Below are 24,793 nucleotides of genomic sequence, written 5' to 3'. Positions count from 1 at the left end.
ACATACAAGGTGTTATTTATTTATTAGAGATGGGGTCTCTCTATGTTGCTCAGGCTGAATTCGTGCTCTGTGCAACTGCCTCAGTCTCCTGTGTAGCTGGGACTATAGGCATGTGCCACCATGCCTGGGTAAGGTGTGCTTTTGACTTAATATAAATCATATAAAAGTTAAAACAGTAATAATTCCTTACTTTTCCTGTATGAGAAACTGAAGCTCAAAGAGGTTAAATGGTTTGCCTGCGGTCACACTCTGATTCTTAATATTCTCTTTGCTACTCTGCACTGCCTTTCCGGAAACTACATGGCAGGGTTTCCACCTTATTCATCTGAGAGGAATATCTTACATCTCATATGGTTTGGAGGAGTCCCCTTGAATAGCAAGTGAAATTATACTCCCCAAAGCGATTTGCTCCATGATTTTCAGATTTCATAATTTGTGTAGCTACAAGTTTAGGCACTTTTGTATATGTCATCTCATTCATCCTCACAACAACCCTAAGGGCATACAACTAGTGAATGGGAGAGCCAGGAATGGAACCTGGATATTCCTAATGTCTGAGTCCTATTTATTTCACTATACTATGCTGCTTTGTCTATCAGTTGTATAACCCTGGGCAAATCACTTAGCCTCTGTGACCCTGCATTACCTCATTTGTAAAGTGAGTATGACGATTACTTCCTTTTAGAGTTGTGAAGCTCAAATGTGCTAATATAAAGTAGAAAACACCGGTAGAAACACCGGTTGTGGTTATGGCTGATAAGTGTACCAAAGTGAAGTAATGTAAAACAGTATCTCTTATTCTCTCTTCAGTTAAAGAGATTAGCAGCAAAAAAGAAGCCAAGGAAGATGCTCTTGAATAAGTGGTTACTCACCAGACCTATATGGCTTGCTCTTGTTAGCTGGCCTTTGCCAGAAGGAGTCTGAGTAGAATTAGGAGTTCCTTGGGAAATTTCTGGAATGGTTTGCTTGTGGAGGCAATAGTCTAAAAACTTAGGTGGGGCTAACTCCATCCTGGGTCTTGTTCAGTTGTCCCTCCTACCACGGGGACTGCTATGATAATGGTAATGGGTGTAGGCCTGATAGAGTTGTGGTTTGTTGTAATGGGAAGCCATCGTGACTAAGAAATTAAGACCAATTCGGGCAAATACATTTATTGAGGCCTCTGTGGTAGGCTAAACTATGAGGGAGATAAAGCAGTGAGTCAGCCCCTTGTCCTCAAGGATTTTACAGTGCAGTGAGGTGGAGACAAACCCTCAACTAACGCTTACAGATAAGGCAGAGTATAAAAACGGTCACATCAGAACAACTTAGAGGTGGGGTGTGGAGTTCCTAGAAGGCTTCTTGAAGTAGGTGGTATATACTCTGAGACTTTGAAGATGAATTTCAAGTAACTGGGTATTCCAACTGAAGGTTGGCAGCATCAGAAGGTGTAGGATGTGTTATGTTTAATATAGGCAGGAACGAAGGCCTTTACTGAGCATGCACTGTAATGCTAGGGTCTGACGATATAGAAATATATTGAAAACAGTTCTTGCCATTGAGGAGCTCTTAATCTAGAGGGATAGATAGGTGTAAACTGTCATTAGGGTGATGACTTCACAAGGTAGAGAAGAAAGGTTATAAAGGAGAGTGTGTAACTCTGACATAAGGAAGAGAAAAAGATACTTTGCAAAGGAGGTGAAACTTGAATTATGTCCTGAGAAAGAAGGAGGAGTTTGCTAAGTGGATGATGGGAGAAGCTAGGAGTGCTACAGGCACCAGCGTTCCCTTGTTAAACAATCTAAATGTGACAGGCACCAGGCAAATACATTTTTGCTTCCCCTTTCCAAATGGATTTTGGCTGTGGGAGGGAATGACTTAATGTCTTCTTTTCCAATATACTAGCAGATGGTTAAATATTTACAGTTAGACTTGGATTCTAATTCAGCTATATAATTAGCTGTATGACCTTAGTAAGACACTTATTTGTGTTTCAGTTCCTTCATTCATACAATTCAAAAAATAAGAGTCTAGTACAGAGCCTGGCATATATAAAGTGCCATTATTATTTTCTATCATTATCTCATTTAGTCTTTGTAAGTAACTGGGCCTCTAGTTACAATTTCCCCCATTTTTCAGAAGCAGGAGCTCAGCGTAGGTAGGTGGCCTGTCTGAAGTTCACAGGTCAATCTGCAGTCGCCTCCGCAGCCCGTCCGCTTTAATTTTATGTCCGCGCCGGGTTTTCCAAGGCGGCCCCGGGGGCAGGCTCTGGTCCGGTGGCCGAGACTCCGGCGCCAGGGTTTGGGCGGCGCCGCGGCCGGCTCCGGCGGGCGGGCAGGCGGGCGGGGCCAGGCGGGGCGGGGCGGGCGTGGGGAGGGAAGTTGTGGAAGTTAGGGGAGACGCCCGCCCGCCCGCCCCGGCCTCGCCTGCGGCCGCTCCCTCCGCCTCCTCCCCGCCCCGAGCCCCAGTCAGCCCGTCTTCCTTCCCCTCCCTTGCATGATGGAAACACCATGGCTGCGGCGGCCCAGCTCTCTCTGACACAGGTAACGCCACACGCCCGTCCGCCGGGCTTGGCCGGCCGGTGCCCCCTCCCCCACCGCCCTCAGCTTCGCCGACTTCTTGGCTTGTGGGCCAAGCAGGCAGCTTCTTGGCTTGTGGGCCGGGCGGCCGGTGTGTGTGAGGGAAAGCGGGTGCGACTGCGGGAGGGCGCCCTCCGGAGCCGGAGCCCCCCTGCGGCCGCCGCGACCTCGCCCAGGGTCGTCGGGCGCCTCCTGCCCCGCCCCGCGCGGCCCTCGCCGCCCTCCGCGCCGCTGCCGAGTGGACTGTGACCCGGCCGCGCTCTGCCGGTGCCGGGCCGGCTCCCGCGGGGCAGCTTTCACCTACCCAGGAAGTTTCCTCCCACAGGGCCGCACGCATCCCAGGTGAGCTCCTGTTGAGCTCGCGCGGGCCGGCCGCACCCCCGGGCCGCACGAGGCTCGCCCGCCAGGCCGGCTGCGCGCCGCCCCCAGTAGGAGTTGCCTTCCAGAGCCGGACGCGCAGGCCCCCCAAGCCAGTCTTTCCTCTCCAGACCTGCCTTTCTCCCAGGGTCCGACGGAAGCCCTCCCTTCCCAGAGTTTAATGTAGTTAGCCTCGCCTCCAAAGAAGTCTCATCCTACTCAACTACCCACTCTGCCGGCCCCTTCCTCCGTTCAGCCTCTCCCCCCTCCTGATCAGGTTTCCTTCTGGGTCAGACCCCCAATGCAGCCTTTTGCCACCCACGTCTGCTTCCACTTCAACTTCCCCTCGGGGGGCTCACGCCTGATCGCTGTCCAGGTGGATCCCTTTAACGGGTGTGGTGGCTCCGCCAGTCTTGGTGCCAGGAACGGCCTCCCGGGGAGCACTTTTCTTGGGGGGAATCCTCAGCAAAACCTGTTCTCGAGCTTCCCTCTTGCCTCGTTGCTTCCTGTCAAAGTCCAGTCCTTGTGCTTCTCAGAAAACCTCTAAACATCACTCACACTGGGAACCTGGTCCCTCCCTCTCTGTAAAGAAGCCAATTACAATGTAAACATGGTGTCCGGGATGATAAGGTGACAGACACCTGCCAGTTCCTTCCTGCTCCTGTGACCCAAACTCTCCCCCGCGTCTCCTCAGACGGTTCTCTCCAGAGCTGGTGGCGCGTGCTTCCCGATTGGGGCCCATCCCGTCTTCCTTGCCTGCATTGTGGTATCTCACTGCCATCTTGTACTCCTTGGCCTAGATTCGTCGGTGCTTCTAAGGCTTTAGCGCTGGGATAGGGCAAACATTTCGGCAGTGGAGTTTTCTGTGTTTAAAATCAAGAGGCTTTGGGGTGCTTTGCCTAGCACTGTAGGATAGAGAGAAAAAAATGTTTTCTCAGAAACCAGGAGTCACGTACATGCTTCATGTAAAATAACTAACCCGTGTTTGCAGGAATTCTAAGTGTCATAAGGAAAGTCTATTTCCCAGTTTTTTTGATGGTGGTGGTGGTTGTCCTGTTCTGACAAGCAGAGAACCCTTTAACATGGAATGTGGTGGTTTAGTCTTGGTTATGTATGTTTGGAAGGGTCCTCCCAAAACTCAAATTTGAACAACTACAGCACTGACTTTTAGGTATTCACTTTCTGTGAGTCTAGTTAGTGACTTGCATTAAACAAGATCCCTGTTGGCAGGCTGTTGTTTTCTGGCTCTGTTGGCCAATTCTGGCAGGAGTTTTCCCTTGAAGATTTTGTGCTCTTAAAGACTTCCGTAAAATTGCTTCTCAGTTGTGTGCATACTTTATTCTCTCCCTGGGTAATACCATGTTTTTAGCTTCTATTTACATCATTCATCTCTGGAGAATTGCTTCAAGCTCTGTCAGTTTTATAGCCATTTAAAAAATTTACATATGTTCTTGGGTTATATATTTAGGTATTAATGTGTACACAGTAAGTACGGAATCAGTAGTAGCTATTATCCTTCAGTGCCTCACATATGAGATAATATACATTGGTGGTTAATTTTTATTGATAATTCAAATAAGTAAATTCAGAATATTCTGATTTTAAAACATGAAGAGGCAATAAGAGGGATTACGAAGGCACACGAAAAAATAACATTTCCAGTTGCTAGTATACCCTAATGTGCCTCCTTGTTACTTCAAAACTTTGCAGATTTGTGGTTTTTAAATTTAATTTAATTTTTTTATAACTGCCTGAGCCCAATACACTAAGATAACAATGCAGCCTGGTTTCACATTCATTACTGACCCGTTTGTCATCCTCTGTTCCCCCCACCCTGCCCACTCTCCCAGCACACACATTTAGACATAGGCATACTCAAGTGAGAGCTCATTCAGGGCAGGGACATCTTTTAATCCATCTTTCTCCCATGGTACCTATCTGGAAGAAAGTAATTAATAACTGTTGTAGGAATGACTGAAAGCTCTAAAGGGTTCTATAACAGTTATGGAGATTAAACATGCTCAAGTTAATTTCTGCTTCTGTTCATATGTTGATGATTTTCATTCAGCAAATATTTTTATAGTACCTATTATGTACTAGACATTGTACTGGGATTATCGTGTTTATAATTTCTTGCCTTTACCAATTAAGCAAAACTGAGTTTGGGGAAAAAATGTGAAAAATGTTTTAGCTTATGCCTTCCTTCCTTTTTCCAAGCTTGCCAACCAACCCTTCAACTCCCCAGCCACCAAAATAAATTATCTAAATTATTATAGTCTAGCTTCTAGAGATGATAGAATGCTAGAGTACCAAAATGTTAGTTCCAGTTCTGCTTTGGCCACAGCTAACTGTATGGGTTTGGGTTAAATATCCAGGCCTCAGTTTTCTTAACTTTAAAAGAGACTCAACAAACATTTGCTGAGCATTCAGTATGTGCTAGGAATTACTCTAGGTACTGAGGATATATATACTCATGAACAAAAATAGTTAACAATTCTTTGACCTTGGAGACAAAACCTGGAACTTATTTCTGCTAGAGGAGTTTGAATTAGCTGATCTAAGGACCTTTCCAACTTTTAAGATCCTGTTTTATAGACAGTGTTCTATGATTTATAGACCTAGTGGACTTTCTCTGGGTTCTTTAGTGCTTTACAGCCTTAAATGTTTTCTAATTCAGTTGTCTTTACTAGGTGTTCTGTTTACTTCTTGTCAATGAGAAGTAAAACCTGAGGGAGAAAGATCTTGATTTTTGCTTCTGTTGGTAGATTAGAAAAAAAGCATGTAATACTTAAAAAAAAAAAGTTTCCAATAGTCAGTTTTACTCCCTAACGCCCATATCCCTAATAATAATAATACTGTTAACTTCCCTTTGGGAATTACTATATGCCAGGAATTTTACTACACTTAGAATCTAACGATATGTTTTACAAATTAGAGAAGCTAGTAAGTAAGCTAGTAAGTGGTGAATCTACGATTTGAACCAAGGTCTGTAGGACTTCAAAAGCTATTTCACTGTTCTTCTCTATGTACTAGATGCTTGGCCTATCCAACGCTCCCTTACATTTTTTGTTCTTTTTTTTCGGCATATGCCATTGTCTTAAGTAGTAAGCCTCTTGAGGATATAAGCCATGGTTTTTGCCTCTGAATCTCTAGTGCCTTTGATAATATCTTGGATGATACAATTGTGTGTTCAAAGTTAGTGCTATTGATGATAAAGGTTTTATTTTACTGAGATAGGATTTGAATATTTAAAATAGTCTTTTAGCAATTCAGCTTTATACTGGTTTTCTTGCTTTAGTTTAGCAAGAATTTTTTTTTTTTTTTGTTTTGTTTTGAGACAGGATCACACTCTGTCACCCATGTTGGAGTACAGTGGCATGATCAGGCTCACTGCATCCTCAACCTTGTGGGCTCAAGGGATCCTCCCATTTCAGCCTCCTGAGTAGCTGGGACTACAAGTGTGCATCGCCATGCCCAGCTAATTTTTAAAATTTTTTTGTAGAGACAGGGACTCACTCACTATGTTGTCAGATTCTTTTTTTTTTTTAAAGTAATAAAAAAGCCCTTAAGTAGGGACTTAATTTTAAAAATCCTAGTATATAAATGGTATAACAACAGTTCTAATGCTTTTTTTGTTAAATTACAAGAGTGATATAACTGTATTACAGAAAACTTGGAAATTAGAGGAAAACATCTCCCATAATTTCACAGTTTGTAGTGTTTATTTTCAGTTTCATTTTTTAAACAAGTACGCAGTACAAGTGCTAATAAACATATCATCTTAGTAGTCTGGTTTAACAATTATGACAGTAAATACAGGTTAGTTTGAAAATGACAACATGTTCTCAGAAGCAGAAAAGTGATATTGTTCTCAACATGACAGATATTTGAGTTCCTACAATGGGAAAGGCACATTAATGATGTTTTTCTTTATTGCCTATAATTATGGTTCGATATACTCAGGAAATCTCTTGAGAGAGATATCTAACCCTTCTCAAAGATGGCTTGAAATGTTCAGCACTTGGGAGAGGTTGTCATAGTTAAAATTAATTAGGAACAAGTTCATCCAATAGCAAGTCTCTCAGGAATAATCTAAGAGTGCATTCCTTTGTTTTCACTCTATTTGCAGACAGAATGCTAGTAACAGACTAACGTGTAATAGAAAAAGATTGAGTATCATTAGCAACGAATCATAGTTCAGAATCTCTGCAATCTCTAATAGTGTGATTTTAAAGGCCTAATCTAAGATATTTTACTTGTTCTTTAGGGAATTACAAAAAGCACTTTATATACTTGTTTGTGAGTTTGGGGCTTAATAAAATTGGGAGCAGAAAAGATAACTATTGGGTACTGGGCTTAATACCTATGACACAAGTCCACTGATGTAATAAACCTTCACATGTACCCTTGAACCTAAAATAAAAGTTTTTAAAAAAAAAATCAGTACTCTGGAAACCAAAACCAAGTAAATGGCCTGAGAGAGATCTGGTTAGTTGGAGAACTGGTAGAAATAATAAACGAAAAGTTACTCCAGGCAGAGTTCATTAGGCAAATTCATATGCTGGAGTTTCATTTTTAAAGCAGTTGAATCAACAAGGTATGCCTTCATTAATTATATTTATTAGGTGTTTTTAATAATCTGAGGAATCTTGTAAATTGAATGCTGTATTACAGTAAAGTGAACTTTTTTTATTTAGACAAATGATCTAACCCAGTTAAGCATGCGTAGAAGAAAGCCTGGAAGAAAAAAAACACTAAAATTTTATAGTAGCATGGTTGTAGTTTTTATCTACCTTGTTTTCAACAGTGAGAATGTATTCCTTCTGTAATCAACTGATTTAGCTTTTCTCTATGGCATTTTTGAGAATTTATTCATTTAAATTGAATACACAATAACTACGTGTAAAGTAAAGCTTTGTGTTCTAAGATTGTGTCTACACTTAGTTTTCATCCTAAACATTTAGAGAAATTGATTAGAGGAATGATAATAATTATATTAATTGATTTGGACAATTCAGTTAGAGGACTAATTTATAATTTTTTGTGCTGCTTTATAACTTAACAAAGCGTAACCTATGAACTAAGCTATTATTATCATCATTTCAAATTGGAGGATACTGAGGCTCAGAATTTGGGACTTAGGTTTTATAGTTAGTAAATTAAAAAACCAATATAAATTCATGGTTAAAAAAATTCATACAATGCTAGTGAAGTCTTCTTTCTGCTTTAGGCCCTCATTTGCTTTCCCAGAGGCAGCCATTCTTGCCAGTTTCTTGTGTGAATTTCCAGTAATAGTCTGTGTATATGCGAATAAATATATATGTATACTGTATATGTATATTCTTTTGTGTAAGCTGTTTATTGTTTCACAGTTTGTTGTTATATTATTTTTAGCTTAACTGATTTAGGAGATTGCTCTATAACATCACATATAGATCTCCCTTATTGTTTTCAAAACCTCAGGGTATTTCTATATGTGAACTTACTGTTATTTATTTTACTGGCCACCTAATGCTGGACATTTATTTTGTTTTCAATCTTTTGTTACAACTATGCTGCAGTGGATACTCTTTTACATGTTTTTGTGCACATGTGTGAGCATATGGATTAATTTCTAGTAGGTGTAATTTTTGGGCCAGAGGATACTTTTAATCTGCATAGATACTGCTAATTTGGGGTAGGCATAGTGGCTCAGGCCTATAATTCCAGTGCTTTGGGAGGCTGAGGCGGAAGGATTGATTGAAGCCAAGAGTTCAAGGCCTGGGTAACATAGTGAAATCCATCTGGGACAAAAAAAAAATTTTTTTTAATTAGCTGGGCATGGTGGTGTGTGCCCGTAGTCCTAGCAGGCTACAGGTGAGCTATGATTAGCAGGTTACAGTGAGCTATAATTGCACCACTGCACTCCAGCCTAGGTGACAGAGCTAAGACCCTGTCTCCAAAAAAAAAAAAAAAAAAAAAAGATATTGCTCATTTACATTCAGAAACACTGTAGCAGCACACATGTTTGAGAGTGTCATTTCCTCCACAGCTTGATCAACATGTATATTATTGTCAGTCCAGTAATCAGAAAGATTTCAAACAATTTCATTGTTTTAGTTTGTTATTTCTTTATGGGTAAGGCTGAACTTATTTTTTTTTCCTTTGAAACCATTTGTATTTCTTTTTTTATAAACTGCTTTAGTCTTTTACCTGTTCTCTTGATGGGCTGTTTGTCTTCTTTCTCACTGATTTGTAAGAACTCTTCTTATATTTAGGAAATTTGCCCTTCTTTGCAAAATCCTTTGCAAAATTTTTTTCTCTGAATTTTTTTTTGTTTTTGGCATTTTTTGATTATGTAGAAATATTTGTTTTATATGTTTAATTTGTCAGTCTTTTCTCTTAGAGCTTCTGCAAAATCTAGATTTTTAAACTTCAGGAGCAGAGGCAGACTAATATAACTGCAAGAGCACACCTGTTCTGCCCCTGAGTAGTTCTGTGATCTTGGGCAAATTACTTAACCTCTTAAGTGCACTCATTTGCATATTAGAAATAAACTACTGAGACTTCTTGGGTATTATTGAGACCTCTTAAGCATGTTGTGATTACAAAATGAACTGGTGACTTATTTTCTTTAGCTACTCCTGTAGTTTCCCAATTTGTTAAAAGCTGGCCTTGTACCCTGCCTCATATACTCTGCTTTCCTATCACATAAATGTGAACTTCTGAATATTTTGTGCAAAAGTAGGATAGAAATGAGGTAGAAGAAACTCATTTTTGTGATATAAATAAGGCTTTCAAATGAATCAGAGGTGCAATTAAAAAATAAAAGTTGGGCTCTTTTTAAAACTTGTTTTTATGTGGTAAAAATATACAAAGAAAAGTAAGCCTCACTTCCTCCCTCCTTTAAACTGGGGATTATTACAATGGGAATATAACAGTACCAGGAGTTTTTCATCTGAAATAATCAAACTGCTTATTCCTTACTAAATCTGCAATAAGAATACAAATTTGACCAAGAATGCTAGGATAAGAACATATTTTTTGGAGGAAGACGTTTATATTACAGTACTTTATAGTTTTTTAGATCATGGTTTCTCAGCCTTGGCACTTTGAGATTTTGGGCTGGAGAATTTCTTGTTGTGGGAGGCTGTTCTGTGCATTGTAGGGTGTTTTGCAGCATCCTTATCCATTAGACGTAACACCTTCACCAGTTGCAGCAATCAGAAATATCTCCAGACACTGACAAATATTTCCTAGAGGATTAAATTGCCTCTGGTTTAGAATCACTGGTTTATTTATTTATTTTTATTTTAAAGTTTTAGTACTTTTGAGAGAGAGTCTCGCTCTGTCGTCCAGGCTGGAGTGCAGTGGTGTGATCTTGGCTCACTGCAACCTCCACCCCTGGGTTCAAGCAATTCTCGTGCCTCAGCCTCCCGAGTAGCTGGGATTACAGGCGTGCATCACCACGCCTGGCTAATTTTTTTTGTATTTTTAGTACAGATGGATTTCACCATGTTTTCCAGGCTGGTCTCTATCTCCCGACCTCAAGTGATCCTCCTGCCTTGGCCTCCCAAAGTATTGAGATTATAGTGTGAGCCACTGCGCCCGGCCAAATCACTGGTTTAGATATATACTTATTTATTTATTATTATTTTTTGAGGCGGAGGTCTGGCTCTGTCGCTCAGGCTGGAGTGCAGTGGTGTGATCTCGGCTCACTGTAACCTCTGCCTCCCGAGTTCAAATGATTCTCCTGCCTCAGCCTCCCAAGTAGCTGGGATTATAGGCGCCCACCGCCACACCTGGCTAATTTTTGTGTTTTTAGTAGAGACGGGGTTTCACCATGTTGGCCAGGCTGGTCTCGAACTCCTGACCTCAGGTGATCCTCCCTCCTCAGCCTCCCAAATTGCTTGGGATTACAGGCGTGAGCCATCGTGCCCGGCCTAGATACATACTTTCTGTGGTCCATTAGGACATACAAGATATACTTTCTAGGGGTGAGGACAGGGGAAAGAGTTTATCTTCATATTTTTATTCTTAAGCCTGCCATGAGCCATGATTGACTCCTTGTGCATAAATATTGAGCTTAAAAAACTTAAATGAGAAGGCAACCTGAAATTGTGAACTTAATTTTATGTGTGATTTCTGTGCCTTTTTTAGTGTGATCTCCTCCCTCTTCCGGCTCCACTGTAGTTTGGAAACTTAGTGTGGTCTTCTTTTAGTTGTGGAACAGTTCTATCTAGTGGGCTAAGTATCAATACAGAGATCCTGGAAGGAAAACATTCTTATGCCACTGTTGAGAAGGAAGAGGACTGATGCTTCTAGAACACCTAATAAATACTAAATACTTTTAGATGATCTACATACATTATTTCACTTAATCTTCATAGCCTTTCTACAAGTAGGCATTAATCTTCTGTATTACTTGCTCACGGTTGTATTTTAAGTGGGAGAGTTGAGACTTGAACCCAGGCACATCTGTTCTCCAAGTACATTTGCTATGCTGCTTCCTATAGTCATTGATGATATTTCAGTCAAATTTTGGGATAAGAATGAACATTCATGTGATCTTACATTCCTCTATTGTTATGTAAAAGAAATTATCCAGTGGTGTGTGTGTGCGTGTGTTTGTGTGTATTGGGGAGGAGGTCAATAGTGGGATAATAACAATAATACTTACTGAGCACACTTACGTGTCATGTGCTATTTTCAATAATCTTTACAACCTGATGAACCTTTCAGTATTCTTTACAACTTGGTAATCCTTATATCCCTGTTTTACAAAAACAAAACAAAATAAAAAACTGGGACACAGAGGTGAAGTAATTTGTTCAAGGTCAAACTGCTGCTAAGTGGTAGAGCCAGAATTGTAACCCAGTAGTCTAAGCAACTCGGATATTGATTGAATGAGTCTGCATTTTTAAGGGCAAAATGGCTCTGACAGAGCTTATTGTGGTACCATTCCTTGGTTATAGCTGAACATATGTTGTAGGCTACTACATCTTCCTATGTGAAAATCAACTTATCATTGCATACACCACATCTCTAGAAAGTGATTGTTGCACGAAGTTATAGTGGAAAGTTTTTGTAGACATAGTAGAAGGTAGTTTTTCATTTTGCAACCTCCAGATTTATTGCTCATGAAAATCTAAGCTTGTCTAGGTTAGTGTACATCATACCAATATTTACTTTTAAGCTAATATTCTCTCAGACATGGTTATTTGGACTTGGAGTTTCTACAGTATTGTATTGCTAAAGATAAAATGTATCAGAGACTCCCTATAAAATAGACTTTTATTGACTAAAACCTGGAACCATTAGCTGTAATGATTTCTGATCCTCAGATGAACATTTTTGAGAACTAGCATAAAATAATGAGAGAGATCTTGGGCTCTGAAGTTAGAATGTCTTAGGTAAATTGATAGATTTTAGTTATATGAGCCATTAATTTTTATGAAATGTTGCACTTAATTAGAATTTTGATGGATCATTTATACTAAGGATTATTGATAACTTCATTCCATCTTTTGTTCTGTAGGTACAACATAGATATAGCATTATGCATATATAAAAAATATGAAATTATATGCATTAAAGGTGCTTCCAGTATTGATGGTTGATCCTCTGTTTCAGAAAACATTTACTAGATGCCTCCTGTGTGTCACTACTCTAGTAAGCCTTGGACATACAGAATAAGACCATGACATTTGCTCTGAAGTAGCTTTTGGTTTTTTAGGGAGATAAACACTGACTTTCTTGTGTGACAAGTACTGTGATAAAGGATGATAGAAGTAAGGCAAGGGGGTGCCATGAGAGAATACTGTGATTATGATGAAACTTTTGGTGGTAATATAGTTTTTAATTATTTAATGGTTTTATAGGATCCAGGGTTGTTACTGTAGAGGATATTTAAACTGTACTTGAAAGGATAACATAAATCTATAGGAACATTTGATTCAAGTTAAATTGTATTTTGGTGCATAGAGTTCATATTGTGGGATATAACATCAATTTTCTTATGAGATTCCTTGTTTTATCTTTTTTTTGTAATAAAGGAAGAATTTTTAACTTTGACCATAGAGCATAGGAAGGGGACTCAAGGATAGACTTCAAAAGATCTGTGATCTACTCCAAAACAGTAGGTAAAATATTTTATATATATATTTTAACAGAGTGTCAAGATTCTCATCCCAGGGACACTGAGAGAAGTTTTACGTAGTGGGAAGAACACTGGATATAGTACAAGACAAACCTGGATTGAATTGTAGCTCTGCCATTTGTGACATCTCTGAGTGATCATGGCAAATTACTTAAACCCTTTCATTTGCTTATGTATGATGTATACACATTGTTGAGATATAGGAGACATTTGATAAATAGAATTGCTTGTATTATTATTAATACTTACCTGCAGAATTTATATGTATTTGTTTAAATTTTCTCTTTCTTTCTTTCTTTCTTTCTTTCTTTCTTTCTTTCTTTCTTTCTCTCTTTCTCTTTCTCTCTTTCTCTCTTTCTCTCTTTCTCTCTCTCTCTTTCTCTCTTTCTCTCTTTCTCTCTCTCTCTCTCTCTCTCTCTTTCTCTCTTTCTTTTCTTTTCTTTTCTTTTCTTTTCTTTTCTTTTCTTTTCTTTTCTTTTCTCTTTTTGTGACTGAGTCTTGCTCTGTTGCCAGGCTGGAGTGCAATGGTGCGATCTCAGCTCACTGCAACCTCCACCTCTCGGGTTCAAGCAATTCTCCTGCCTCAGCCTCCTGAGTAGCTGGGACTACAGGTGCACACCACCATGCCCAGCCAATTTTTGTATTTTGTATTTTTAGTAGAGAGGGCTTTCACCATGTTGGCCAGGATGGTCTCGATCTTCTGACCTCGTGATCCACCTGCCTCGGCCTCCCAAAGTGCTGGAAATACAGGCGTGAGCCACCGCGTTGGGCCTAAATGTTTTTTCATTTCCAGTATTCTTCACTCACTAAAGAAAACTTGGAACATGCATGTCGAAAAGTAGAAGATAGATCACCATCCACACCATTCTTTAAATTTTAGTCTTTTACATCGTTTCTTTTTTTTCCAAATGTAGTTATTATCTCTCTTTCATACACACACACACATATATATGTGTGTATATATATGTATGTAACATTTTTTATTCTGTTCTCCTTTTTTTTTTTCTGAGATGGAGTCTTCCTCTGTCACCCAGACTGGAGTACAGTGACGTGATCTCAGCCCACTGCAACTTCCATCTCCCAGGTTCAAGCAGTTCTCCTGCCTCAGTATCCCAAGTAGCTGGGATTACAGGTGTGTGCCACCATACCTGCCCAATTTTTGTATTTTTGGTAGAGATGGGGTTTCACCATGTTGGCCAGGCTAGTCTTGAACTCCTGATCTTGTGATCTACCCGCCTCAGCCTCCCAAAGTGCTGGGATTACAGGTGTGAGCCACTGCACCTGGCCTATTCTGTTTTCTTTAAGTGTTTTCCTATGTGGTCTGCTTAGCATCTTTTTAATGTCTTTGGAGCATATTAATTGATTGTGTGCTTTATAGTTTAAGCCCTAATGTGTACAGATATTTTATATATGTCCACTATAATTTATGCTGTTGCAAATAACCTTTGCTCTACCATTTGATAAATTTTTTTCTGTAGAGTTATATGTGGTACTTATTATATTATTGAATTATTTTTCTATGTATACATTTGAGTTTTGAAATCAAATGAGTGAATTTTTAGTTTATATTTTAAGATCTTGAATGGTAAAGCAGACAGCAGCAAGGGTTAACTCGAGCAATAATCTGAAAAATGCTATTCTGAAGGGATTAAACCGAGCATATTTAATTTGGTTGCAAGGGCCATTTATAGTTTGTCAGAGTTCACTTAGCATAGGAAATTGGCATTAAAAGTTGTGAGCTTGAAGAAGATTGAAATATTTCAGTTTGTATATACAGTTTTCACCCTTCTCTGCAGTCTGTATTGCTTTCATTCTTAGTTTGTTCTCTACATTCTTAGTTTGTTCTCTACATTCTGTTCTGTTCTGTTTTTTTTTTTTTTTCTGGCACACTTTTATGCGGCGCCTTGTAAGATCTGGGGGTGGATTCTGGACCATCTGGCACTTCAGAATAGCTCAAAACCTTAACTCTCTTGACTCTACTTTGAGCCATACTTGCTTGAAATGTCCTGGTTTGTCTCTCTGCTTGGCACGTTTTCTGCTTTATACCCTCAGAGCTTTTTATGACTAATTTCTTCCTTAGGACAGGAATTTTAAGAGTACCAGTATTCATAAGTTAAAGTGGACAAGACTTATTTCACTGTAAAATTCACCAAAAAAACCCTCATAAACTTTGCAATCTGTTTTTAAATGTATAATTGACATGAGCACTTATGTCTGTTTGATAAATATTTAAAATATTCAAAAATGGAATTTTTTAAGGTACTGCTTATAGTTTTTCTTTGATTATGAGGCCAGTTAGGAAAGTGTAATTCTGCAAATTGTAAATCTACTGAGTTGATTTCTAGTCCTAGCTTTAAAATACTTCATATGTCCAAATTAATAATAAGTTAAAAAGATATACCTGCATTTAAAAATATGAGCCATCTACCAATTCCAAAAAGCTGTGGAGGTAGTTAATGTATAAAATATTTAAACATTGTTGGCTGGGCACGGTGGCTGACGCCTGTAATCCCAGCACTTTCGGAGGCTGAGGTGGGAGGATCACCTGAGGTCAGGAGTTTGAGACCAGCCTGGCCAAAGTGGTGAAACTCCGCCTCTGCTAAAAATACAAAAATCAGCCGGGTGTGGTGGCAGGCACCTGTAATTCTAGCTACTCGGGAGGCCAAGGCAGGAGAATTGCTTGAACCTAGGAGGCAGAGGTTGTAGTGAGCCAAGATTGCGCCATTGTAATCCAGCCTGGGTGACAGAGCAAGACTCCATCTCAAAACAAACCAACAAATAAATAAATAAATAAATTGTAGTGAGCCAAGATTGCGCCATTGCACTCCAGCCTGGATGACAGAGACTCCATCTCAAAAAATAAATAAATAAATAAAAATAAAATAAAATATTTAAACATTGTTTACTTTTATTAAGAGACTTTTTTTGTAGCTTTATGCTCCATTGTTCTTTTCTAAAATTTTTATTTTTTACTTTTTAAACAGTTTAATTGAGATGTAATTCACATACCATACAACTTACCCTATAAAGTGTACAATTCAGTGGTTTTTAGTCTCTTCACAGATACGTGCAAACATCAATTTTAGAACAATTTTATCACCTCAGAAAGAAACTTGTACCCCTCAGCTATCACCCTCCCATATTGCATGCTTCCCCCAGCCTAAGCAACTATTAATCTACTTTCTGTCTCTATAGAGTTTGTTATTCTGGACTTTGTATGAATGGAATAATATAATACATATACTCTTATGACTGCCTTCTATCACTTTTTGTGGTTTATCTATGTTGCAGCAAGTATCAGTAATTCATTCCTTTTTTTGGTTGAAAAATATTCCATCGTATGGTTATACCACATTTTGTTTTTCCATTTGTTCATTGGTGGATATTTGGGTGGTTTCCACCTTTTGGCTGTTATGAATAATGCTTTTATAAGCATTCATATACAAGGTTTTGTGTAAATATATGTTTTCACTTCTCCTGGGCACATATCTGGTCATGTGGAAATTCTGTGTTTAATCATTTGAAGAGCTGCAGATTTTTTTTTTTTTGAGACACAGTCTCACTCTTTCACCCAGGCTGGAGTGCAGTGGCGCAATCATGGCTCACTGCAACCTCTGCCTCCTCGGTTAAGCGATTCTCCTGCCTCACCCTCCCGAGTAGCTGGGACTACAGGTATATACCACCACACCCGGCTAATTTTTGTATTTTTAGTAGAGACAGGGTTTTACCATGTTGTCTGGGCTGGTCTCAAACTCTTGGCCTCAAGTGATCCACCCGCTTCGGCCGCCCAAAGCACTGGGATTATAGGTGTGAGCCACCACGCTCGGCTGCTGACTGTTTTAGAGCAGCTGCACCATTTATATTTGTACCAGCAGTGTACCGGGATGAGGATTTCTCCACATCCTCTCCAGTAATTGTTATTAGCTGATTCTTTGATTTTGGCTTACTTTTTTTAGTATCTCATTGTGTTTTCGATTTTCATTTCTCTGATGATTAATGATGTCAAGCATCTTTTTATGTGCTTATTAGCCATTTGTATGTCTTCTTTAGAGAAATGTCTATTTATATTCTTTGCCTGTTTTAAAATTGAGTTGTCTTTTTATTATTGAGTTGTAAGAATTCTTTATGTATTCTAGATAGAAGTCCTTATTAGATACGTGGTTTGCATATATTTTCTCCCATTTCATGGATTATTTTCTTGATGGTGTTCTTTGAAGTACTTTGAAGTTTTTAATTTAATTTTAATTTATTTTGTTTTCAGACAGGGTCTTGCTCTGTTGCCCAGGCTGGAGTGCAGTGGTACAATCACAGTTCATTGCAACCTCGACCTCCAGGGCTCAAGTGATCCTCCCACCTCAGCCTCCCCAGTAGCTGGGACTACAAGTGCACGCCACCTTGCCCAGCTAATTGTTTTTATATTTTTTGTAGAGATGGGGTTTCACCATGTTGCCCAGGCTGGTCTTGAACTCCTGGGCAACATGCTCGCTTTCGCCTCCCAGAGTGCTGGGATTACAGGCTGACATAAGCCACCTTGCCTGGCCTGAAGTTTATAATTTTTATAAAGTCTAATTTATATATATTTTTCTTTTGTTGCTTGTGCTTTTGGTGACATAGCTGAGTCTTTTGGCAAATCTAAGGTCATGAAGATTTATCCCTGTGTTTTCTTTTAAGAGTTTTATAGTTTTAGCTATTATATCTAGGTCCTTGATCTATTTCAAGTTGATTTTTATATATGGTGTGAGGTAAAGGTCCAACTTCATTTTTTTGCTAGTGGATATCTTTTGCTTGTGACATGGTATTCCAGCATCATTTGTTGAAAAGGCTATTCTTTCCACATTGAATGATCTTGGCACTCTTGTCAATAATCAGTTAACCATAGATGTATGATTTAGTTCTGACTTAATTCTGTTCCATTGATCTATATGTCCTGTGCAGTACAACACTGTCTTGAGTATTGTTGTTTTGTAATACATTTTGAAATTGGGATGTGTTAGTCCTCTAACTTTGCTTTTTTATTTTTTATTTTTTGTTGTTGTTCACTTCTGTTGCTCAGGCTGGAGTGCTGTGGTGCAAACTCGGCTCATTGCAACCTCTGCCTCCTGGGTTCAAGCGATTCTCCTGCCTCAGCCTCCTGAGTAACTGGGATTACAGGCGCATGCCACCATTCCTGGTTAATTTTTGTATTTTTAGTAGAGATGTTTAGTAGAGTAGACCATGTTGGCTAGGCTGGTCTCAAACTCCCGACTTTAGGTAATCCACCCGCCTCAGCCTCCCAAAGTGCTGGGATTACAGGCATGACCCACCGCGCCCAGCCTACTTTGCTTTTTTCTTTCAAGATTGTTTCGGCTATTCCGGATTCCTTGCAATTCTATCTGAATTTCAGAATCAGCTTGCCAGTTTCTACAAAACAGTCAGTTGGAATTCTCATATAAATTGCATTGAATCTATAGATTAGTTTGGGGAGTATTATCTTAACAAGGTCTTCTGATCTATGAACGTGGGATGTTTTTCCTTTTTATTTTTAACTTCTTTAATTTTGTTCAGTGTCTTGTAGTTTTTAGAGTATAGTAAGTCTTGTACTTTTGTTAAAGCTATAACAAATAAATTGATAAGAAAACTGTTTGATGCTATTGTGAATGGAATTCTTTTTTTTTTTTTTTTGAGACAGAGTCTCACTCTGTCGCCCAGACTGGAGTTCAGTGGCATGGATCTTGGCTCACTGCAACCTCCACCTCCCAGATTCAAGTGATTCTGCTGCATCAGCCTCCCGAGTAGTTGGAATTATAGGCAAGCCCCCACCACGCCCAGCTAATTTTTGTATTTTTAGTAGAGATGCGGTTTCACCATGTTGGCCAGGTTGCTTTCGGACTCCTGACCTCAGGTGATCCACCCAACTTAGCCTCCCAAAGTGCTGTGATTACAGGCGTGAGCCACCGTGCCCAGCCTGGAATTGATTTCTTAATTTCATTTACAGATTCTTCGTTGGAAGTGTATAAAAACAAAAATTTTTTTATACTGATCTTGTATCCTGTAACCATCTGAACATATTTATTACCTTTAGTAGTTTTTAGTGGATACCTTAGGATTTTCTGTATATAAGTTCATGTCCTCTGCAAATACAGATTTACTTCCTCCCCCAATCTAGATGCTATTTCTTATTCTTGTCTGATTTTCCTGGTTAGAACCTCCAGTATAATAATGATTAGAAGTGGCAAGAGTGGACATCCTTTTCTTGTACCTGAAGCATACGTATGTATAATCAATACCTCAAAAGTGCCTAGTTCAGCTATGAAATAAAACTAGTGTTATTTGAAAGGGTTTTTTTAAAAGTATTTATTTATTTTTATTTGCCACTATACTAATGAGGAAGAAGGGGTTTCTAAATTTTGTCATTTATTTATTTGTTTGAGACAAGGTCTTTATTGCTCAGGCTGGAGTGCAGTGGTGAGATGGTGGCTTACTGCAGCCTTGACCTCCTGGGCTTAAGTAATTCTGCCTCAGCCTCCCAAGTAACTGGGGCAACAGGCATGCACCACCACATCTGGCTAATTTGTTTGCTTTTTGTAAAGATGGAGTCTCACTATGTTGCCCAGGGTGGTCTCAAACTCCTAAGGTGCAAGTGATTCTCACATCCTTCGCCTCCCAAAGTGTTGGGAGTATAGGCATGAGCCACCTCACTTGGCCAGAGGGTTGTTTTAAATTCACATTTTAATTATGTTGCTTCAGAGGGGTTCTTGAGGGTGGTCCTTATACTATCAGCACCTGAAAACTTGTTTGAGATGTAGGTTATTATTAGACTCTCCCCTGCAACTCTGAAAAGAACCAGGGGGTGGGAAGTTCACTTAGCCTTTTGCATGGTAAATGTAGTTTATCTTAAAATTAATAATGTGGCAGGGTGCAGCCGCTCTCACCTGTAATCCCAGCACTTTGGGAGGCCGAGGAGGGTGGATCACCTGAGATCAGGAGTTTGAGAGCAGCCTGGCCAACGAGGCGAAACCCCATCTCTACTAAAAACACAAAAATTAGCTGGGCGTGGTGGCAGACACCTGTAATCCCAGCTACTCATGAGGCTGAGGCAGGAGAATCGCTTGAACCCGGGAGGCGAGGTTGCAGTGAGCTTAGATTGCACCACTGCACTCCAGCCTGGGTGACAGAGCAAGACTCGTCTCAAGAAAACCACAAAAAACCCACAAAAAACCCCCCAAAAAACTAATAATACTACCAATGAGTAACACATACAGTGTTTTTTGTTTTTTTAAGACAGAGTTGGAGTTTCGCTTTTGTTACCCAGGCTGACAATGGTGCCATCTCGGCTCACTGCAACCTCCACCTCCCGGGTTCAAGCAATTCTCCTTCCTCAGCCTCCTGGGTAGCTGGGATTACAGGGGCCTGCCACCATGCCTGGCTAATTTTTTGTATTTTTAGTGGAGACGGGTTTCCCCATGTTGGCCAGGCTGGTCTCCCACTCCTGAACTCAGGTGATCTGCCCGCCTCGGGCTCTCAAAGTGCTGGGATTACAGGCGTGAGCCACCACACCCAGCCAATACAAGGTTTTACATTTATGGAACATGTAATTTTCACAAAGACTATTTATAGTACGTTTTTTCTTTCTTTTGTGTTTTTTAATATATGAGGAAACACCCCAGAGAGATTGTCAATTTTCTTTCTTTATTTTTTTTTTTTGAGATGGAGTTTTACTCTTGTTGCCCAGGCTGGAGTGCAGTGGCTCGATCTTGGCTCACTTCAGCCTCCACCTCCCGGGTTCAAGTGATTCTCCTCCCTCAGCCTCCCAAGTAGCTGGGATTACAGGTGTGTGCCACCATGCCCTGCTAATATTTGTGTTTTTAGTAGAGATGGGGTTTCACCATGTTGGCCAGGCTGGTTCTGAAACTCCTGACCTCGTGATCCTCCCACCTCAGCCTCCCAAAGTGCTGGGATTACAGACGTGAGCCACTGCACCCGACCTACAGATTTTCTTTTAAAAATTAGCTGGGTGTGATGGTGCACACCTTTAGGTGCAGCTACTTGGGAGGCTGAGGCAGGAGGATTGCTTGAGCTTGGGAGGTCGAGGCTGCAGTGAGCTGTGATTATGCCACTGCTCTCTAGAGTTGAGAAAGGCAAGACCCTTTCTCAAAAAACAAAACAAACAAAAACCACAATGAAATACCACTTCATACCCATTAGGATGGCTATGATAAAAAAACCAGTAACTAGCAAATATTGATGAAGACGTGGAGAAATGTACTACTGATGAGATTATAAAATTGTGCAGCCACTGTGGAAAACAGTATGGCAGTTCCTCAAAATATTAAACATTGAATTACCGCATAATCACCATATAATCCAGCAATTTCATGTCTGAGTATATATCCAAAAGAATTGAAAGCAGTGACTTGAACACATTTGTATACCAGTGTTTATAGCAGCATTATCCACAGTGACCAAAAGGTAGAAATAACTCAAGTATCCTTTGACAGATGAATGAGTAAACAAAATGTGGTATCTACATGCAACGGAGTATTTTTGACTCTTAAGAAGGGATGAAATTCTGATATATGCTACAAGAAGGAAAAATCTTAAAGACGTTATGCTAAATGAAATAAGCCAAATGCAGAAAGACAAATATTGTACGATTACATGTATATGTGGTAACTAGCATAGTCAAATTCATAGAGACAGAAAGTAGAATAATTGGTAACAAGGGGTTGAAGGGGAGTTAAGTGTTTAACATGTACAGATTTCCAGTTTGGGATGATGAAAAAGTTGTGGAAATGGATAGTGGAAATAGTTGCACAATAATGTGAATATACTTAGTGCCACTGAATTCTGTACTTGAAAATGTACAATTTTATGTTATGTGTATTTTACCATAATAAAAAAGTAGAACAAAAATGAGAAAAGGACTTGAATAGAGATTTCTCTAAAGAAGATATGCAAATTGCCAGTAAGTTCACAAGAAAATTTTCAACATCATTAGTCATTAGGGAAATGCAAATTATAATCACAATGAGAAGCCATTTCATACCCATTAGGGTGGCTTTTATCAAAGAAAAAGAAGGAATTTGGAGATACTGGAACCCTTGTGCATGGCTCATGGGAATGTAAAATGAGCTGATGGAAAACAGCATGGCAGTTCCTGAAAAAAATTCAAAATAAATGGTTCAGCAATTCCACTCCCAGCTGTCTACTCAGAAGAATTGAAAGCAAGGATCCAAACACATACTTGTACAGTAATGTTTATAGCAGCATTATTCACAAGAATTAAAAGGTAGAAATAACCCAAGTGTCCGTGAAGAGCTAAATGAATTAAAAAAAAATGTGGTGCATGCATAAAAGAAAAGGATTAAAATTATCATACATGCTACAACATGAAGAAACCTTGAAGACTTGAAATGAAATAAGCCAAACACAAAGGGACAAATATTATGTTTGTTTTTATATGTGTCTTAGTCTGTTTTTGCTGCTATAACAAAATACCAAAAACTGGGCAATTTAGAAAGAACAGAAATTTATTTCTTCCAGTTCTGGAGGCCAGGAAGTCTAGGATCAAGGTGCTAGCAGATTCAGTGTCTGATGTGGACTGCTTTGTCCTTCCAAGATAATGCTTCTTGCTGCATCCTCATATGGTAGAAGGGCGTAAAAGGGATGAATGCTGTGCCTCACATGGCAGAAGAGAAGGAAGGGCAAAAAAAGGCAAGTGCTGGGAGGACTCTTTGATACGTACCTAAATTGCATTCACAAGGGAGGAGCCCTTATGACTTTATCACCCCTTAATGGCCCCACCTCTTAATACTATTGCATTGGAGATTAAGTTTCAACATGAATATTTTGGGGACACAAACATTCAAACTGTGGCAATAAGGTATTCAAAACAGGCAAATTCATAAAGACAGAAATAGAAATGTATTTACCAGGTGACTGGGGGAGAGAGGAGTGAGAAGCTTTTGTATAATGAGTACAAAGATGAAAAAAATCTGGAAATAAATACAGATGCTTCTCAACTTACAATAGGGTTGCATCCTGATAAACCCATAGTAAGTGGAAAATATCATATGTCAGAAATGCATTCAACATGCCTAACTTACCAAACATCATAGCTTAGTCTAGCCTACCCTAAATGTGCTTAGAACACTTACATTAGCCTACAATTGGGCAAAATCATCTAATACAAAGCATGTTTTATAATAAAATTTTGAACATCTCATATAATTTATTGAATACTGAAAGTGAAAAACAATGGTTGTATGGGTACTCGAAGTATGGTTTCTACTGAATGCTTACTGCTTTTGTACTGTTGTAAAGTTAAAAAATTGTTAAGTTGAACCATTGTAAATTGGGGACCAACTGGTGATGGTTATACAACATTGATACCACTGAGCACCGTACCTAAGATCATATCATCAATGAAAATTTATGAACCATTTGAAATATATGGGTATGTGGGTGTTTCTTTAGGTCTCTTTGTTCCATTGTACCTTTTATGAGTTGGATAAGTGAATTTATCAATGGTCAGGCAGAATTTTTTGAGGATAAAAGCATAAAATCCAAATATAGAGAAGTGACATTGTTATCTTATCGACTAGTTGGAAAAGGGGGGTTTAAGTTTTTTTTCCTAATTATGAATCTGTATGTCATTATTTGAATCTATCACCTTTATACTTCACAATACACACTAGTTTTTTTTTTTTTTTTGAGACGGGGTCTTGCTCTGTCGCCAGGCTGGAGTGCAGTGGCACAATCTCGCCTCACTGCAACCTCTGCCTCCTGCGTTCAAGCGATTCTCCTGTCTCAGCCTCCCAAGTAGCTGGGACTACAGGCGCGCACCACCATGCCCAGCGAATTTTTGTATTTTTAGTAGAGATGGTGTTTCACCATGTTGGCCAGGACGGTCTCCATCTGTTGACCTCGTGATCCGCCCGCCTTGACCTCCCAAAGTGCTGGAATTACAGGCATGAGCCACGGTACCTCACACTAAAATTTTAAGTGGCTGATTTAAGTGATATTTTTCGCTGCTGCCAGAGGACTGTTGCAAAGATATGTGTGATTTAACGAATATTTATATGTCATGATACTTCTAAGATGCGTGAATTGGGTGTGGGCCTATTCAAGCTGCCTTGCTTGGCTGATTAATGAGTATTTCTCACCCTTTGTTGTATGCTTATAAATAAAATGTGCATCATAGTCACCATATCCATGTATCATTTCGAGGGCATTAGGTCATATTGAGCTTTTTCTTTGCATTTGTCATGATTAACTTTTTTGTGACTTTGGACAAGTTATCTTTTTCCTTGTAAGTTTATCTCATCTGAGAAGGGGATTTTCCCCTCAATTTTAGTATAACCCTGTTTTATTTTTCTGCTTCTTAAAATGGATGAGAATGACAAAAGAAATTTGCTAGCTGACTGGTTAGAGGAGTTAGTTGTGATGGCAGTCATCATTGCTCTGTATGTATGTACTTGGTAGTACATAGAAATATTCATCAAATGATTACTTCAGTTGAGTTGCATTTGTAGAACTACATGAAGTTGAATTTTAACTTAAATTTGAACTCCTAAGTGTCTTCTAAAAAATATTCTATATGTAACATTGAATAGCTTTTTTCTGTATGCAGAATGCAGAAGATTTCTTGTTATTCAGTTACTCATTTCATTCTTTCATTTTTGTTCACTTATAAAATATTTATTATCTTCTATGTGTCAAGCACCATTCAGGGTACAGGGCACTGAAAAAAATTCTAGAA

At 39.4% G+C, this 24,793-nt stretch overlaps 2 protein-coding genes and 1 long non-coding RNA gene across 13 annotated transcripts in view, besides 6 other annotated features; 1 reads left to right on the top strand and 2 right to left on the bottom strand.

Annotated features, from left to right (window-relative positions):
• OSBPL9 (oxysterol binding protein like 9) overlaps window positions 1-3,449 on the bottom strand; it is a 270,948-nt gene extending 267,499 nt beyond the window's left edge. For all 4 annotated transcript variants that reach the window (NM_001416294.1, NM_001416293.1, NM_001416292.1 and 1 more), the window contains exon 1: window positions 3,275-3,449. The gene's annotated coding sequence lies outside the window, so the exon portion shown is untranslated. The remainder of the gene's footprint in view (window positions 1-3,274) is intronic.
• EPS15-AS1 (EPS15 antisense RNA 1) overlaps window positions 1-3,449 on the bottom strand; it is a 61,039-nt gene extending 57,590 nt beyond the window's left edge. For all 3 annotated transcript variants that reach the window (NR_183651.1, NR_183652.1, NR_183653.1), the window contains exon 1: window positions 3,275-3,449. This is a non-coding gene — a long non-coding RNA (EPS15 antisense RNA 1). The remainder of the gene's footprint in view (window positions 1-3,274) is intronic.
• Window positions 2,232-2,421: a silencer, noted in NCBI's record as "silent region_878". NCBI's record gives its function as "represses an Ori minimal core promoter by ATAC-STARR-seq in GM12878 lymphoblastoid cells {active_cell/tissue: GM12878}" and the evidence as "EXISTENCE:reporter gene assay evidence [ECO:0000049][PMID:35858748]".
• Window positions 2,232-3,200: a biological region, named in NCBI's record as "H3K27ac hESC enhancer GRCh37_chr1:51984193-51985121".
• Window positions 2,272-3,200: an enhancer, noted in NCBI's record as "H3K27ac hESC enhancer chr1:51984193-51985121 (GRCh37/hg19 assembly coordinates)". NCBI's record gives its function as "activates a minimal SCP1, AML or CMV promoter by ChIP-STARR-seq in primed H9 embryonic stem cells {active_cell/tissue: H9 hESC(primed)}" and the evidence as "EXISTENCE:reporter gene assay evidence [ECO:0000049][PMID:30033119]".
• The window catches only part of EPS15 (epidermal growth factor receptor pathway substrate 15), a 165,004-nt gene continuing 142,665 nt past the window's right edge, over window positions 2,455-24,793 (top strand). For all 6 annotated transcript variants that reach the window (XM_017000618.3, NM_001410796.1, XM_017000617.3 and 3 more), the window contains exon 1: window positions 2,455-2,522. In XM_017000618.3, coding sequence (XP_016856107.1) covers window positions 2,490-2,522 — 33 coding nt within the window. In that variant the 5' untranslated portion in view covers window positions 2,455-2,489. The remainder of the gene's footprint in view (window positions 2,523-24,793) is intronic.
• Window positions 2,572-3,041: a silencer, noted in NCBI's record as "silent region_877". NCBI's record gives its function as "represses an Ori minimal core promoter by ATAC-STARR-seq in GM12878 lymphoblastoid cells {active_cell/tissue: GM12878}" and the evidence as "EXISTENCE:reporter gene assay evidence [ECO:0000049][PMID:35858748]".
• Window positions 16,640-16,699: an enhancer, noted in NCBI's record as "active region_1024". NCBI's record gives its function as "activates an Ori minimal core promoter by ATAC-STARR-seq in GM12878 lymphoblastoid cells {active_cell/tissue: GM12878}" and the evidence as "EXISTENCE:reporter gene assay evidence [ECO:0000049][PMID:35858748]".
• Window positions 20,145-20,434: an enhancer, noted in NCBI's record as "active region_1023". NCBI's record gives its function as "activates an Ori minimal core promoter by ATAC-STARR-seq in GM12878 lymphoblastoid cells {active_cell/tissue: GM12878}" and the evidence as "EXISTENCE:reporter gene assay evidence [ECO:0000049][PMID:35858748]".

Source organism: Homo sapiens, chromosome 1, assembly GCF_000001405.40.
Source record: "Homo sapiens chromosome 1, GRCh38.p14 Primary Assembly".
NCBI lineage: Eukaryota > Metazoa > Chordata > Mammalia > Primates > Hominidae > Homo > Homo sapiens.
This window is presented reverse-complemented; position numbering and strand designations above follow the sequence as displayed.